The sequence below is a fragment of the Homo sapiens genome, chromosome 6, assembly GCF_000001405.40.
Source record: "Homo sapiens chromosome 6, GRCh38.p14 Primary Assembly".
In the NCBI taxonomy this organism is placed as follows: domain Eukaryota; kingdom Metazoa; phylum Chordata; class Mammalia; order Primates; family Hominidae; genus Homo; species Homo sapiens.
The window spans coordinates 97,010,678-97,027,645 of NC_000006.12; the positions used below are offsets into that span (position 1 = coordinate 97,010,678).

Consider the following 16,968-nt stretch of genomic DNA (forward strand, 5'->3'; position numbering starts at 1 on the left):
TGAAAAACAAATATCCTCAAATGACCTCAAATCTTGCTACCTAGGGAAGGAAATAGTGGCTTTTGGGAAATCAAGAACTTTTGAATATAAAAAAGTACCTAGAAGAATAAAAGGCACATTCCTTTATGTATCTTATTAGGCTTTCTTTTTTTCCTAAGTAGTAAAACAATCATTAGTTTCACTGAGTATTTTGGACAGCATATTAGAAATTTGAAGTACCAAGTTTACTATTCTTTACTGGAGATTGTCCAGCAGAGGAAAGCAAATACCAGTGGATGTGTGGAAGCATTTTCTGATCTTTAACACGTACACCTGCTATACCTAACAGCCTGCTCAGAAGAAGGTTCTATTTCTAGATGGTAAATGAGAGCTTCCCAGTGGACCATTATTTTATCATGAGTGGTAGTGGGAGGAGGGACAGCGTTTGGACATGAGGGAATTATCATGTATGCCATCATATCATTGCTAGGTCATTTATCTCTTGTCTAGCCAAGTTCACGTTAAATTCTACTAGGTTAGCACTTGAGGTCATTTAACAAAACTGCTGTTTATTAAGAATGGGAGACATGTTCTTCTTTGAATCCTGCAAGAGGTGGTTGCTGAAAATAATAGGAACCATATCTTCATATTTTAGGCAAAAGTCACTTTTAAGAAGCTTTGTGATAAATCACCTAGAGAAGCCAGTGAATTATGCCCTAATGGTTGGAATGAGACAAGTTTTCTAATAGTGATGACAATTATTAATTACTAATCACAAGTATGTGTGTGGTGGGAGTGAATCTCAAAGCTATAATAAAAGGAAATTTGTGCCTTTTTGCATAATGAATGAGAAAAGTCTCTTTAAAAGAGCAAAGAAAACTATTAAATTATAAAATTGTTGAATTTCTTGTCACAACCTTTAGAAACTCTATAAACTCATCTAAAACCCCAATTCACTGTAGTGTGAAAAATAGATACATATTCAGAGTGATCATTTATCTTGAATTAAAATTAAGCATCCGAGTCATTACAAACTTATCTCCTGCTTATGGACATGCTGACATAAAAGTATTTAAAACTTCTGAGTAGAAAAGGATATTAATGATGCAAGGATAGGCCAGAAAATGAATACACTTCTTACTAAGGAAATAATGATTGTTATTCAAGCTGCAAAACCTAAACATGGAAAGGAAGGTAAACTGGCGTTTATTAAAAATCTTTCTTTATTTGTTTGCTAACCTCAGTCCTAGTTGTATTCACATTTGTTACTTTGTTTAATCCCCCCAATAATCCTTAAATGTAGATATTACAACAACTTTACAGATGATGAATTAAAGTTTGCTAAACATTGAATTAATTTGTAATCAATCACGTAACTGCTGAATGCTAGAGTCTAAACCCTAGCCTAGGCAAACATGCCTCCAAACCCCCTCCATTTTCCATTATACCAAGCTGTGTGGAACTGAGTACTCCCTGTTCATGTCTGCCATTAGCTATTGAGCATTATGGTAGGCAAAATAATAGACCCCCTGGCCAAAGATGTCCATGCCCTAATTTCTGGAGCCTGTAATAATGAAGTGATGGACCTTGAGGTGGCAATACTATCCTGGATTATGTAGCTGGACCCAATGTAACCACAAAGTCCTAAAGATAGAAGAAAGAGTCAGCAGAGTCACAGTCAGAGGAGTCAGGACAGAAGCAGAGGTTGGAGTGATGTGATTGTTGGCTTTGAAGGAGGAGACCATGAAACAAGTGACTTCTGTAAGCTGGAAAAGACAAGGAAACAAGTTCTTCCTAAAGCCTCCAGAAGGAATACAGCCCTGCTGACACCTTGATTTTAGCCCAGTGAGACGCATTTTGGGCTTTTGACTTCCAGAACTATAAAATAGATTTGTGTTGTTTTAAACCACGAAGTTTGTGGTACTATCACAGTAGCAAGGAAACTAATACAGGCATCTTAACAGTTGCTAGCTGCAGTGAATTTTTCATAATTTTTGTGAATTTTCAGATGTGGCTTTGCTTACTATCATTTCTGTAATCCTGGTCTCATAGTGCCACCTGAAAATGTTGAGAAACGTAATTCAGTCATAGGTTTCAGATTTGAAGAGCAATTAAACTATATATGAGGGTTCTCATATAAGAAGTAATTGGGTTCCTTTATTTCAAAGCAGAATATCAAAAGAGAGTCAGAAGGATTTGACATGTTTGATGTAGAAAACTTTATTATTATTGTTATTGTTTTGGTTGTGGTTATTTTTCACTGCACCTTCCTCAGCACTCTAAGTCCAAAAGAGCCCTTTTTCAAAATTTCATCTTTTTCTTGTTAATAATAGAGATCTCTGTGCCTCTAAATGGTGTTTGGTCAGTGAGTTTTGTAATCTTAAATGGCAGAAATGTCATGACATGTAATTTTGTGAGAAAAGGATACTTACCCCTCCTAGCCTTTACATAAGTGAAATATAGTAAATGCTCTTAAAATAATTGTACATTTTCTTGTGAGAAATAACATTCCTTGTACTTTATGAGAAAAATATGTGTAAAGTTGCACATCATAGAAGATGCAGATTTTAATATCCAGTGTATTTCAGCAGTTTGGTATCAGAAAAGTGCACTGAGCTAGTGTTAAATAACTTTTTATTAGAATGTCCTCTCTATTGTTAAGTTGCCACATTATATGAGGAAACTCACTTCAGTTTTTGTGCCTTGGTTTCGTTGTTGTAAAATGGAGAGAATGGTACCTGTTTTGTTATTCCATTTAAAAAATCACTTGATATAATATAAGTGGCAGTGCTTAGAAAGGAATAAAAATAGTTACACCAATGCTAGGTGGTGTTTTTGTTTTTACTAAGAAAGTCCCTGAAGTCACCCTGCTCTCCCCACCACATACATACACAGACACACACATACACACATGTACACGTGTCAGGTCTAACAATGAAATACCCAGTTAAGGCATTTTGATTCCATGAAAGGATAAAATAACATTTAGTAAACAGCCTAAGTATTAATTAAAAAGTTATTCAATCTTTTGATATAAGTTCCACAAATACCTTCAATCAGAATTTATATTAATTTTTCAGTGTTCCCAGAGCTGAAATGATTATCACCTACTAAGGCAAAGGAAGAAAACAGCGTATTATGGGAGTCAAGCCAACTTTGCAACTTGCTGTGACTTATTATATTGGGTTATTTCCCCTGTTGCCACAAACAATATTTGTCAAAAGGGATAAATGCTCATTTTATAAATTTGTTGTCCTAAAGTTTAAACTGAAAAATTAACATAAGTGCAGTGGTCTCTGAAGTAGGGGTTTGTGCACCCCTGAGGGTGCAGGGGAAGGAAATTTTCTCTCTGTATATGTTTCTTTTTTGGCCGGGCGCCGTGGCTCACGCTTGTAACCCCACCACTTTGGGAGGCCGTGGCGGGCGGATCACGAGGTCAGGAGATCAAGACCACGGTGAAACCCCGTCTCTACTAAAAATACAAAAAATTAGCCGGGCGTTGTGGTGGGCGCCTGTAGTCGCAGCTACTCGGAGAGGCTGAGGCAGGAGAATGGCGTGAACCCGGGAGGCGGAGCTTGCAGTGAGCCGAAATCGCGCCACTGCACTCCAACCTGGGTGACAGAGCGAGACTCCGTCTCAAAAAAAAAAAAAAAAGTTTCTTTTTTCGTATCTGTAAATTATTATTTGCAACTTTATTTCTGCTTTGGGTTTGTTTTATAGTATATATAACAAATTGGTATATAGTATGTCTATATAATTTATAATTTATAAATATGTAAATATTAGGGCTACTACTCAACAGTATGGTGATGGTGTTTGCACAGTGAAAAAATGTTTCAAGAATACTACAATAGTGAAACAGTACACAGAATTTAAATATGACTTCATAGGCACTACTACTGAAGTTTAGAGAAAAAGAATTCATTGACCCATTTGACAAATTCTGATTGTCTACTATAAGCCAGATAATCTGCATTTTGTCACTGTCCATGCAACAGTTCTCTGAGGCAGGTATCTTCATTTTGTGTTCATGAAAACTGAGGCTTAGGGAAGTAAAGTAACCCAGCTAAGGTCATGTAACTCATAAAGGATGCAGCCAAGTCTCAAATCCTTATCTGTTGGACTTCAAAGGTCAAATTCCCAACCCCATTCTCACCTGCCTCCTACTCTGCTGAATAGCTTAGTATGAGAGCAAAGGTTGTGATATGGTTAGGCTCTGTGTCCCCACCCAAATCTCATCTCGAATTTTAATCCCCATAATCCCCATTTGTCAGGGGAAGGACCTGGTGGGAGGTGATTGAATCATGGCGGTGGTTTCCCCCATGGTGTTCTCATTGTAGTGAGGGAGTTCTCAGGAGATCTGATGGTTTTATATGGGGCTCTTTTTCCTTCACTCCCTTTTTCTCTCCCCTGCTGCCTTCTGAAGAAGGTCCTTGCTTGCCCCTTGCCTTCTGCCATGATTGTAAGTTTCCTGAGGCCTCCCTAGCCATGTGCAACTGTGAGTCAATTAAACCTCCTTTCTTTATAAATCACCCAGTCTTGGGTATTTATTGCAGTGTGAGAATGGACCAGTACAGGAAATTGATACTGCAGAGAGTAGGGTACTGCTATAAAGATACTTGAAAATATGGAAGCAACTTTGGATAACAGGCAGAGGTTGGAACAGTTTGGAGGGCTCAGAAGAAGACAGGAAGATGTGGGAAAGTTTGAAGCTCCCTAGAGACTTGTTGAATGGACTTTACCAAAATGCTGATATGATGTAGACAGTGAAGTCCAGGCTAAGGTGGTCTCAGATGGAAATGAGGAACTTCTTGGGAACTGGAGCAAAGGTCACTATTGCTATGCTTTAGCAAAGAGACTGTCGGCATTTTGCCCCTGCCCTAGAGACCTGTGGAACTCTGAATGTGAGAGAGATGATGTGAAATTGGAACCTATGTTTAAAAGGGAAGGAGAGCATAAAAGTTTGGAAAATTTGCAGCCTGATGATGCAATAGAAAAGGAAAACCCATTTTCTGGGGAGACGTTCAAGCTGCCTGCAGAAATTTGCATAAGTAACAAGGAGCAGAATGTTAATTGCCAAGACCATGGGGAAAATGTCCCCAGGGCATGTCAGAGATCTTGGTGGCAGCCCCTCCCATCAGAGGCATGGAGGCCTAGGAGGAAAATATGGTTTCATGGGTCGGCCCGTCACTATGTGCAGCCTTGGGACTTGGTCCCCTGCATCTCAGCCATGGCTAAAAGGGACCAAGGTACAGCTCAGACCATTGCTTCAGAGGGCACAAGCTCCAAGCCTTGGAGGCTTCCATGTGATGTTGGGGCTGTGGGTGCACAGAAGTCAAGAATTGAGTCTTGGGAACCTCCTCCTAGATTTAGAGGATGTATGGAAATACCTGCATGTCCAGGCAGAAATTTGCTGCAGGGTTGGAGCCCTCATGGAGAACCTCTGCTAGGGCAATGCAGAAGGGAAATGTGGGGTCGGAGCCCCCACACAGAGTCCCCACTGGGGCACTGCCTAGTGGAGCTGTGAGAAGAGGGCCACCATCCTCCAGACCCCAGAATGGCAGCTCCACTGACAGCTTGCACTGTGTGCCTCGGAAAGCTGAAGACATTCAATGCAAGCCCATGAAAGCAGAGAGGGGGACTGTACCCTGCGAAGCCACAGGGGTGGCTGCCCAAGGCTATGGGAGCCCACCTCTTGCATCAGTGTGCCTTAGATGTGAGACATGGCGTCAAAGGAGATCATTTTGGAACTTTAAGGTTTAATGACTGCCTTGTTGGATTTCAGACTTGCATGGAACTGTAGCTCCTTTATTTTGGCCAATTTCTCACTTTTGGAACGAGTGTATTTACCCAATGCTTGTACACCCATTTTATCTAGGAAGTAACTAACTTGCTTTTGATTTTACAGGCTTATAGGTGGAAGGGACTTTCCTTGTCTTAGATGAGACTTTGGATTTGGACTTTTGAGTTAATGTTGGATTGAGTTAAGACTTTGGGGGATTGTTGGAAGGGAATGATTGTGTTTTGAAGTGTGAGGACGAGATTTGGGAGGGGCCAGGGGCAGAATTATATGGTTTGGGCTGTGTCCCCAGCCAAATCTCATCTCGAATTGCAATCCCCATAATCCTGGGAGGGACCTGGTGTGAGATGGTTGGATCCTGCGGTTGGTTTACCCCATGATGTTCTCATGATAATGAGTGAGTTCTCACAAGAACTGATGGTTTTATAAGAGGCCCTATCCCCTTCACTCTCTTCTGTCTCCTGCTGCCATGTGAAGAAGTCCTTGCTTCCCCTTTGCCTTCCACCATTATTGTAAGTTTCCTGAAGCCTCCCCAGCCATGTGGAACTGTGAGTCAATTAAACCTCTTCCTTTATAAATTACCCAGTCTCAGGTATTTCTTTATAGCAGTGTGAAAATGGACTAAATACAGGTTGGAAATGTTAACTGGTTTTTAAAGTCAGTATGACTGGAATTTGGTGAGTAAATTAGCATGACGTTTTATAGATGTTAATTTCAAAAAGAAAAAAGAAAAAAAATCCTGGACACATCTGGATGAGTTATCCCATGCCATGTCCTTGAGATTTAGGAGATTAATAAGCAGAGCCAAGCTGGTGCATCTAAAAGATTTGACTTGAACTCAGAGACAGATAGCATAGCTAATTTCAGCTGGAAGCTTCTTAATCTCCAGGGTTCTTACCCAATGTTTTGGCTACCATAGGGAATGCCCTCATCATTGGGAGAGTTGCTGCCCTTCTCTAACTATAGTTTGAGGTTTGCTGGTAGCATTCCATTCTGGAGAGGGACTGATGGAACAGATAATGCCAAATACAGAACAAAGGTGAGGAGTCAGGCAAGGGTTAGGTGGAAAAAAGGATGGAAGACAGAGAAATAAATGGTACCATGCAAAGGAGCCAGGGTCTTCTAATCTTGAAGTTGTGATAGACAAGCCAGACTATTCTGGAAATTATAGAAACAAGAGTGTGGCAGAGATGGCCAGCCAATTTAGGTTTCTCTTTTGGGGATATGGCTTGGAAATTCTTCTCAGCCAGTGACTTCACTTTCCAGTCCCACTTGTATCTAGGTGGGGCCATATGACTAGCCCTTGCCAGGAGGGTATGACTAGAAGGACACAATGGTTATGAAACAGAGGTACCTGTTCCACAGTCTCTCTTTCTCATCTACAAGCCAGATGGAATGGCAGCAGAGGACCTAGAGGAATGCAGAGCCCCGTGATGGAAGGAACCTGGGCCCCAAGTGATCATGTGGATGATGGCTTAACTAGGAATACACACACTATGCTGTGTCATGAGTGAGTGAAGTCACTGGGAATTTGGGTTTTATCTATTATAAAACTGCCTAAGATTTTAATGCCACATTACCTTAGTTAATACAAAATCATTAACAGACTCAACAAGTGGATGAAACTAGGACAGTGTGGAAACTAGTTATTGATGCAGTCAAAAAGAGTACAGTAAGTATAATTAATATTGAATCGAAACTTTTTTCAATGCTACATACTTCTAAGGAGAAAAAAAGAAACAGAGAAAGCATGGAATGTAAAAACACAACAGAAGATGACAGATATTAGACCAAATATTTTAGTAATCACAAAATATGTGAACTGATCAAAGGCATCTGTTGAAAGATACAAACTAAGATTTATTAAAAATATCAATTTGGCCAGGCACGGACACCAAGGCAGGCGGATCGCCTGAGGTCAGTAGTTTGAGACCAGCCTGGCCAACATGGTGAAACCCTGTCTCTACTTAAAAAAAAAAAAAAAAAATTATCTGGGCGTGTTGGCGCACTCCTGTGATCCCAGCTGCTCAGGAGGCTGAGGCAGGAGAATAGGAGAATCGCCTGAACCAGGGAGGCAGAGGTTGCAGCGAGCCGAGATCACACCACTGTGCTCCAGCCTGGACGACAGAGCAAGACTCAGTCTCAAAAAAAAAAAAAAATCAATCCAAGTATATTTATTAATAAAGAAATGTACCTCAGAAAAAATATTAGTCAGATGCTAACAAAAACATATGTGTAACAATATTAATATGCTATAAAGTAGAATTCAAGATGAACAGAATTGGAAGGGAGAAAAAGTAGAAATTCTATGCTGGCCAAAGTAACAATCTATCAGATGACAGTTATGAACCTATATTCACTTAACAAACCTTCAAAATATGTTAGGAAAATGATAGAATCATAAGGAGAAATTAACAAATTCTCAATCAGTTGGAGATTTTTAACATTCTTCTCTCTGAAACTGACAGATCATATAGATTTTTTTAAATGTAGACGGAAGATATGGATAGTACACATTCTCAGCACACATGAAACAATTACAAAAATGATAGTTAAGTAGGTTGTTCTGATCAAGTACATAATTGGACATAAAGGACTCATTAAAATCAGAAATCTGTAACAAAATTGATAATCTAGCCTCCTCCTATCATATACTTGCAATTGTAAAAAATACTCTTAAAAGTCTATGAGATAAAAGGAAAACAAATATAGAAATTACAAAATATTTAAAACTGAATACCAGAAAAAAGCAGCGTTCTTAATATGGACTTGAAGAAGTATAGTTATAGCCTTTTTGCAATTTGCGTTCCTTGGGAAGTAGACTCTGAGACAGAGATTAGTGTGAAGAGCCCTTGGACCCAATAACTGCAGAAGGGAGGTAAAGAAGGCAGGAAGGAGAAGTTGGTCTTCAATGCAAGCCCAACGACAGCCTCAGTGGACTCCACAGGGAACACAGGAGCTAAAATGTTTTTCAGAGTTGGCCAGTGTGATTAGGACTTATATTCTTGCAAAGATTAGTCACTGGATGTGGGCCACCCCGGTAAGGTGTGGGACTTCGGGTGAAGCACTCACAGTAGCTGAGTCAATCCCTGAAAAGGCTGGCAGGTGAAGTCGGTCTGCCCACAGTTCTCTCAGCAGCTAGGAATGAAGAATTCTTCATTAAAGAGGGATCTGAGTGGCACATCAGTGTCCTCTCCAAACCTTGGTGCATTTATTTAAAAATAGGAGACATCCAAAATAAGAGCTATGCTTTCAACCGTAATAAAATAATTGGAAGTAAATAAGCATAAAAGCAGACATTCATGAAACAGCAAAAAAATTTTTATACTATTTTCTTTTTTTGAGACGGAGTCTCCCTCTGTCGCCAGGCTGGAGTGCAGTGGCGCGATCTTGGCTCACTGCAATCTCTGCCTCCCGGGTTCAAGCCATTCTCCTACCTCAGCCTCCCAAGTAGCTGGAACTACAGGCGCCCATCACCACTCCCGGCGAATTTTTTTTTTTTTTTTTTTGAGACAGAGTCTTGCTCTGTCGCCCAGGCTAGAGTGCAGCAATCTTGGCTCACTGCAACCTCTGCCTCCTGGGTTCAAGCAATTCTCCTGCCTCAGCCTGCCAAGTAACTGGGATTATAGGTGCCAGCCACCGTGCCAGGCTGATTTTTGTATTTTTAGTAGAGACAGGGTTTCACCGTGTTGGCCAGGCTGGTCTCAAACTCCTGACCTCATGATCCACCCGCTTCGGCCTCCCAAAGTGCTGGGATTACAGGCGTGAGCCACTGCACCCAGCCTATACTATTTTTTAAAAATACAAATTATTTAGATAAACTTTGACCAAATTATTCAAGAATTTCAAAAAAAGAAATACAATATAAAAAATGAAAAAAGGTGTTATCTAGAGATGAAAATAATGATTACCAGAAATACTATAGAAACTCTATGCCAATAAACTTCAAAATCTTGGTAACAAGTTTATAGAAAAATGTAATTATCAAAAGTGGGCCTATTTTGTTGACAAAATAAGCACACATTTTGTCAGAAAGGCAATGGGCCTAGATTTTTTTCCTACTAGTACTATCAACTCTTTACTTAATAGCTGATTCCTATATTACATAAACCTGTTCTAAAGTCCAGAAGAAGATGGAAAGCCACACACCTCATTTTATAAGACTAGCATAATGAGAACCATATCTCAATATAGATACAAAAATTATAAATAAAATACAGCCAAGTTCAATAATCAGTTTCCAGTCCTCATTTTCCTCAACGCATCAGCATCTCAGTCACTTCCTATTTCTTCCTTGAAACATTTTCTTCACTTGACTTTGTTCCACATTCTCCAGGTTTTCCTCCCACTTGCTGGCTGCCCCTTCTGAACCTTCCTTGCTAGTTTTTCCCAATCTCCCCAGCTTCTTAAAATTACAGGACTGACCCAGGTTCAGTCCTTCCACCTTGCTGTCTCTATTAGCTTCCATGGTGATCTCACAGGATCTCACACATACATGTATTCCTATATGATGATGTATTATATAGGGTAGTATATATGTATTCCTATATGATAATGTATTAGAGTCCTCCAGAGAAGCAGAACCAATAGGTTGTATATATAGAGAAAAAAAGATTTATTATAAGGAGTTGGCTCATACGATTATGGAGGCTGACAAGTCCCAAGATCTGCATTTGGCAAGCTGGAGACCCAGGGGAGCCAATAGTGTTGGGTTTTTTATTTTAACTTTTACTTTAGGTTTAGGGGCACATGTGCAGGTTTATTACGTGGGTAAATTGTGTGTCACTGATGTTTGCTGTATGAATGACCACATCACCATGTAGTGAGGATAGTACCCAACAGGTAGTTTTTCAACAATGGTGTAGTTTTACTGTCAGCCTGAAAGCCTGAGACCCAGGAGAGCCGATGATGTAGTTTCTGTTGGAAAGCTGGCAGGCGTGAGACCCAGAAAGGGCTGATGTTTCAGTTCAAGCCTGAAGATGGCATGTCCTAGCATGAAGACAGTCAGTAGAGGGAATCCCCTCTTTTTCAGTCTTTTGATTCTATTCAGGCTTTCAGTTGACTAGATGAGTCCCATCTACATTAAGGAGGACAATCTGCTTTATTCAGTCTACTGATTAACATGTTAATTTCATCCAGAAACACCTTCACAGACATACTAGAGTAATGTTTTACCAAATATCTAAACACCTGTGGCAAGTCAAATTGGCACATGAAATTAACCACCAGAGATGATGACTGACAAATTTATATTTCCGAATTGGACTTCCCCTAAAATTGTGAAATCATATATCCAACAGCCTGCTTATCATCTCTAGTTGGATGTTTAAGAGGCATCACAAATCCAATGTGTCCTAAATCAAACTTCCAGTTTTCTCCCACAAAACTGCTTATTGCACAGTTTTTTCAATTTCAATTAATGGCAACTGTCCAGTTAATGCAGGCCGCAATTATCTGTGTCATCCTTGACTCTATTTTCTTGCATCCAGACTGCTGGCAGGTCCCCATAGCTGGACCTTCAAAACATATCCAGACTCCAGCCACTTCTAGTACTACCACCCTGGTCTAAACTACCATTATGTTTTGCCTGGAGTTTTGCAGTATCCTCCTAGTCTGTTTTCCTTCTTCAATCCTTGATGCTTTGGAGTCTGTTTCAATACTGCAGCCCCAGTGAACCCACTGAAAACACAAATTGGATTGTCATTTCTGCTCAAACCCTATGACGGTTTCTACTCTTATGCAGAATAACAGCCAGAGTCTTTAAGGGTACATGATTCTACATCATCTGTCATCCCTCCTACAACTCTCAACCTCCGTCCATTCCAGTCACACTGCCCTTCTTGCTATTCCCTCAGACAGGCACCTGAGAATCTTTGCACAGCTGTTTCCTCTGCCTGGATTACTCCTCTAGATAGCTACATGACTTCCTTCCTTGCCCTCTGCAGGTCTTTGCTCAAATACTGTATTACCTTCTCAGAAAGGAGGACTCTAATTTTACCTGTGATAACACCTAATTTTTTTTTTTTTTTTGAGATGGAGTTTCACTCTTGTTGCCCAGGCTGGAGTGCAGTGGTGCGATCTCAACTCACTGCAATCTCCGTCTCCCAGGTTCAAGCGATTCTCCTGCCTCAGCTTTCCAAGTAGCTGGGATTACAGGCGCCTGCCACCACACCTGGCTAATTTTTGTATTTTTAGTAGAGATGGGGTTTCATCATGTTGGCCAGGCTGGTCTCGAACTCCTGACCTCAGGTGATCCATTGGCCTCAGCCTCCCAAAGTGCTGGGATTATAGGCATGAGCCATGGCGCCCAGCCCTGATCACCTAATTTTTAAAGAAGACTTGTATTAGTTCATTTTCATACTGCTATAAAGAAATACCTGAGACTGGGTAATTTATAAAGGAAAGAGTTTTAATTGACTTACAGTTCCACATGGCTGGGGAGGCCTCAGGAAACTTACAATCATGGCATAAGGCGAAGAGGAGGCAAGCACTTTCTTCACAAGGTGGTAGGAGCGAGAAGAGAGCAGGGGAAACTGCCACTTATAAAACCATCAGATATCATGAGAACTCACTGACTGTCATGAGAACATCATGGGGGAAACCGTCTCCACAATCCAATCACCTCCCACCAGGTCTCTCCCTTGACATGTGGGGATTATGAGGATTACAATTTGAGATGAGATTTAAGTGGGGACAGAGATCCAAACCATATCAACTATATTCATATATTACTAAATACATATAATTTAGAAATTGTAAAGACAAAAAAGCCACAATTTAGGTTTTTTAAAACATTTGAAGGCATAGGACTGGTTAGCAAAAGATCTTTCCCCTCTGGGGTTTTGGATCATATTTTTTCAGCATTGACAATCTATAAACTATAAGCTGACAATCTATAAACTGAATTTATAGATACACTTGTAAATATAAAACTGATCAGTGTAACTTCTTTCAATTTCACAAGTAAAACTGATTTTCTTTAAAACTAAATATATATTTTTTGTTTTTATCCTTACAGAAGCTGCTGTGGGGGTGGGAAACACAAGGGTCACTGTCTCTGTTTTCTTTCTACACATGACAGTATGGCATTACTGATGCTGAGATTCATTTAAAATCCAGGGCAACAAGGATTGTACCCATTCCTTAACGTAGAATTTCTTGAATTCTTAGTGGATGCATACTGCTGAAATGGAGATTTAATTGTAAGTCCCAAAGACTTGTCACCCAGCAGGCTTTTCACTGTTTTCTCAGATCCAGCTGGCCTAGTTCTACATGGATAGTATCACCTGAAGCCACTAGAGAACTAGGGGCCAGGAAAATCCTTGGCTAACTAATTGGGAACCTAATGTGGTAACTGTGGTCTCTCTTCTCTTCAACTTGTAACTCTCTGGAGATATTAGAATCTGGTTCAGAAGAGAGTCCTGAAAAGCTGCAATAGGCTCTTCTTGTCTTGTCCTAAAGCAATTGTGACTTTTGAAAAATGTGTGAAAAAATATAGTCCAAGGAGCTGTAGAAATTGACAAAAAATCATCCAGAGATGAAAATGTGCTTAATTTGTCACCTAAATCATATTATACTGTTGTCTGTGAGTAGAAGTTGGCATTGTCCACTTTGTGTCTGATGATTAATCATTTAGGTAGTATCTGTTAGGAAGAGGACTCAAGAAATAGCTTCTAATTTTAGTCAGAAAAAGTAGCACTATTAATAGCGGCCTTGACATTCTGCAAAGCCAAATTAAGCAGTCAACCTGGCATTTTATAAACGGGCTGTTACAGAGCCTCACATCTGGTAGATATTCGATAAGCATTAATTGCCTGGCTGACTATGAGCAGCCACATAGCTGCTGTAATAGAGTCTGCACATGGTGGTGGGATAAGGCTGATTCTGATGTACTGTGGGACAGGACCTTGTGAACATGAAGAAGTATGTGGGTTTTTGTTGTTGCTTTTTTTTTTTTTCAAATTAAATGACTTCATAATTTCCTTTTGAAACTGAGCACATTTCATTAAAAATGGATTTCCTTTTGTCAATTCAAGGTAAGTTACCAGGTAACAGTGATATTGGTCAAATGTTACCTCTTTTTTAAATAGAAAGCTGAGAGCCTTCTAAAGAGCCATCATCATATTCTTCTTTAAAATTATTTGAATCAATGCCAGAGAAATTGTTAACATTTCAGTCATTCATTTAATTTTCATTATCGCGTTTATAATTAGTTCATTGTCTTCATTATAGTGAATGGATGGATAATGGTGAAGTCTGGTCTACATTTTATTCTTTTATTTAAACTGATTCACATCTAGTAAATGTAAGTATTATGAAGCTAGAAAAATAGTTTTAAAGTAATAATAATAGCTAACATTTTTTATCATTTACACTGTGACAGTCATTGTGCTAAGCCCCTTTATATGTATTTGTTTCAAATATATATTGAAATATCACTTTATTTTTCTGCCATATCTTTTCTATGCTTTTAAGATTATAACTTTTATGCTGTTTTATTTAAAGTAAAATTTGCATTCATGCTTATTTGATCTCAGGTATACGGTCAACCTCAGCTTCATCCAAAAGAAGACCACATGTTTAAAGGATAATAAAGCTGATGGAATTTTTAAACTCTTAAAAATTAGTGTTGAGCGAAGGCAGATGTTTTACAAAAGAGGAGAAGACATCTGATCCTGTGAGCCTGATGAATTGGTATAAAGAATTATTGGAATCTGTAGAAATGCCATGATTCTGTTTATCGTCTTTGTAAAAATCTGATTTGGAACGAATTGTCCATAGAGTGGGATGATCCAGCTGCTTGTTGAATCGGTTGCTTTTCATTAGCCCATCTGATGTTGACTGCATTCTGGGCTTGCATGCCTGAACTCCTGAAAGATTGAATTATCAGTATGCTTCTCACTCAGAGAGCTGTGACTCTAATGAGAGATTTTCATATCAAATCATTCATATCACTTTATAATCACAATACAAGTATTAGATGCTTTCTGATCCTGCTACAATTATGGGAATTAGCTAACTTCATGTGAAATTCCAGTAATAGATATGAATGCATTTCTCAGGTAGGCAATGAATATTCATCCTTCTGAGGTCAACTGTGGTTTGAAGAAGTGGAGGAGAGGAGGTCTGTAAGTCTAAACACAGCCTGATTCTGTTTGTCTTTCTTTGAATTGAAGGGCCTACCAGTTTCCCAGTTTATCTGGCAGTCTTTCCAACTTGAGAGGGAGGCACCTGAGTAGGCACAGAAGAATGGTGGTGAAGGCATGGGTTCAAGTCCCGACTCTCCCTCTTACCAGCTTTATCGCCTTGAACCGTTTGCTTAATTTCACTGGGTCTCATTTTCTCATGTTTAAAATGAGGTAATAGTAGTACCTGACTTCACAGAGTTGTGAAAATAAAACTTTAATTCAAGTAGGACTCTGACACAGGGCCTGCCACATGGTAAAAGCTGGGTAAACATGAGTTGCTATTGTCATTGTTCTCATTATCACACCAGAGCTATAGGGAGGCCCTAGAAGAAAAAACTATTTATCTTTCTTTTAATGATGGAGCAAAGCTCATTTCACCCAAGAGAAAATGAAGATCAAGATGGGTAATATGTAAAATATAATTATATAAATTTTGAGAAATAAATACATTATATATATATAAATGTTCATAGGATTAAAAGAAGTCCATCTAATTATTTTTTAAAAGGTGTTTGAAAGCTTGTGGATGATTCCTAAACCCTTTTGTTTCCCCATTTTTATAAGATGTAGAGACTTTGTGTTAGCCTGCATGGACAAAGCATCAAATGTGTTTGCAGAAAAAGTGAGCTTGATGGGAGGATTGCTTGAGCCCAGGAGTTCGAGGTTGCAGTGAGCTATGATCATGTCACTGTACCCTAGCCTGGGTGACAAAGTAAGACCCTGTCTCAAAAAAAAAAAAATTAACTCGAACATTTGGGAAGACTTGAACTCTTCATATTCATTGAGCTGACCTGTTCTTAGATTAGGAAGGTGCCAGGGAAATGGTTGCTTAGCAACTAATGGGGTTAAATGAAACAGTCTGTTAGCTGGGCTCTTGCCCTGTCTGTGTGCATGCCTAATAAAGGAGATGGTCTCCAGTGGGTATTGCTTGACTCACAGCTGTCAAACAAAAGTGATGAATAAAATGCAAGATCGAAGGGAGGGTCCACACCTGGACTGGGCATCTATATTTATGGTCATATACCTTCCTTTATGTTAGATGTTGAAGAAAAAGTTATTAAGAGAGGACATTAAAAATAAGAGAGGGACTGTTGAAATTGAGGGTTAAAATTTTAAGAGCGATCATTAGTTTACATTGAGTTTTAAGAGACTAAGATAATAAGTGATAACTGAGGAAATTCCACACTATTATCTTCAACATTCTTCTAAAAAATTCTCTATAGAAAAGGGATAACAGGGCTGGGCGTAGTGGCTTACACCTGTATTCCCAGCACTTTGGGAGGCCGAGGCAGGTGGATCATGAGGTCAGGAATTCGAGACCAGCCCGGCCAATGTGGTGAAACCCTGTCTCTACTAAAAATACAAAAACCAGCTGGGCGTGGTGGCGTGCACCTGTAGTCCCAGCTACTCGGGAGGCTGAGGCAGGAGAATCACTTGAACCGAGGAGGCAGAGGTTGCAGTGAGCCGAGATTGCGCCACTGCACTCCAGCCTGGGCAACAGAGGGAGATTCCCTCTCAAAAAAAAAAAAAAAAGAAAAAGAAAAGGGATAACAGATCTTATGGATGACATTGTGAATTCTAGGACAGAAATTGTGTGTTTTAGTACTTGTCTGCTCCTGGTCCCTATTTATACCCATGACAGACATTATGACTAGATCCTGACCACTCTCACTTGAGCTGGATGTGGCTTACAGCCCTCAACGGGGCTGCAGGAAGCCATTACCAATATCAGATTGGGCAGGTAAGAAACTTCCATGTCATTCTTTATGACAAATTGAAACTTGTTAAAAACTTCTACTTTTTGAATTCCATAGGAATATTCTGAATGATTTGTGTCAAAAGCAGCTTTGAGGTAGCCACATGAAATTCGTCTTAAGGAAAATTGATAAGAAGGAAATGGACCAGAGAAAATCAACCAAAATAATTGGGGGAAAAGGGAGACAGTGTGAAAGATTTTCCTGAAAGTTCTTACCACTGCCACCATTCACAAGCTTAGGATGA

General features: G+C 39.6%; 1 protein-coding gene across 25 annotated transcripts in view; it reads left to right on the forward strand.

Moving 5' to 3' along the window:
- The window catches only part of KLHL32 (kelch like family member 32), a 242,671-nt gene that overhangs the window by 112,595 nt on the left and 113,108 nt on the right, over positions 1 to 16,968 (forward strand). The gene's annotated exons all lie outside the window — the stretch shown is intronic.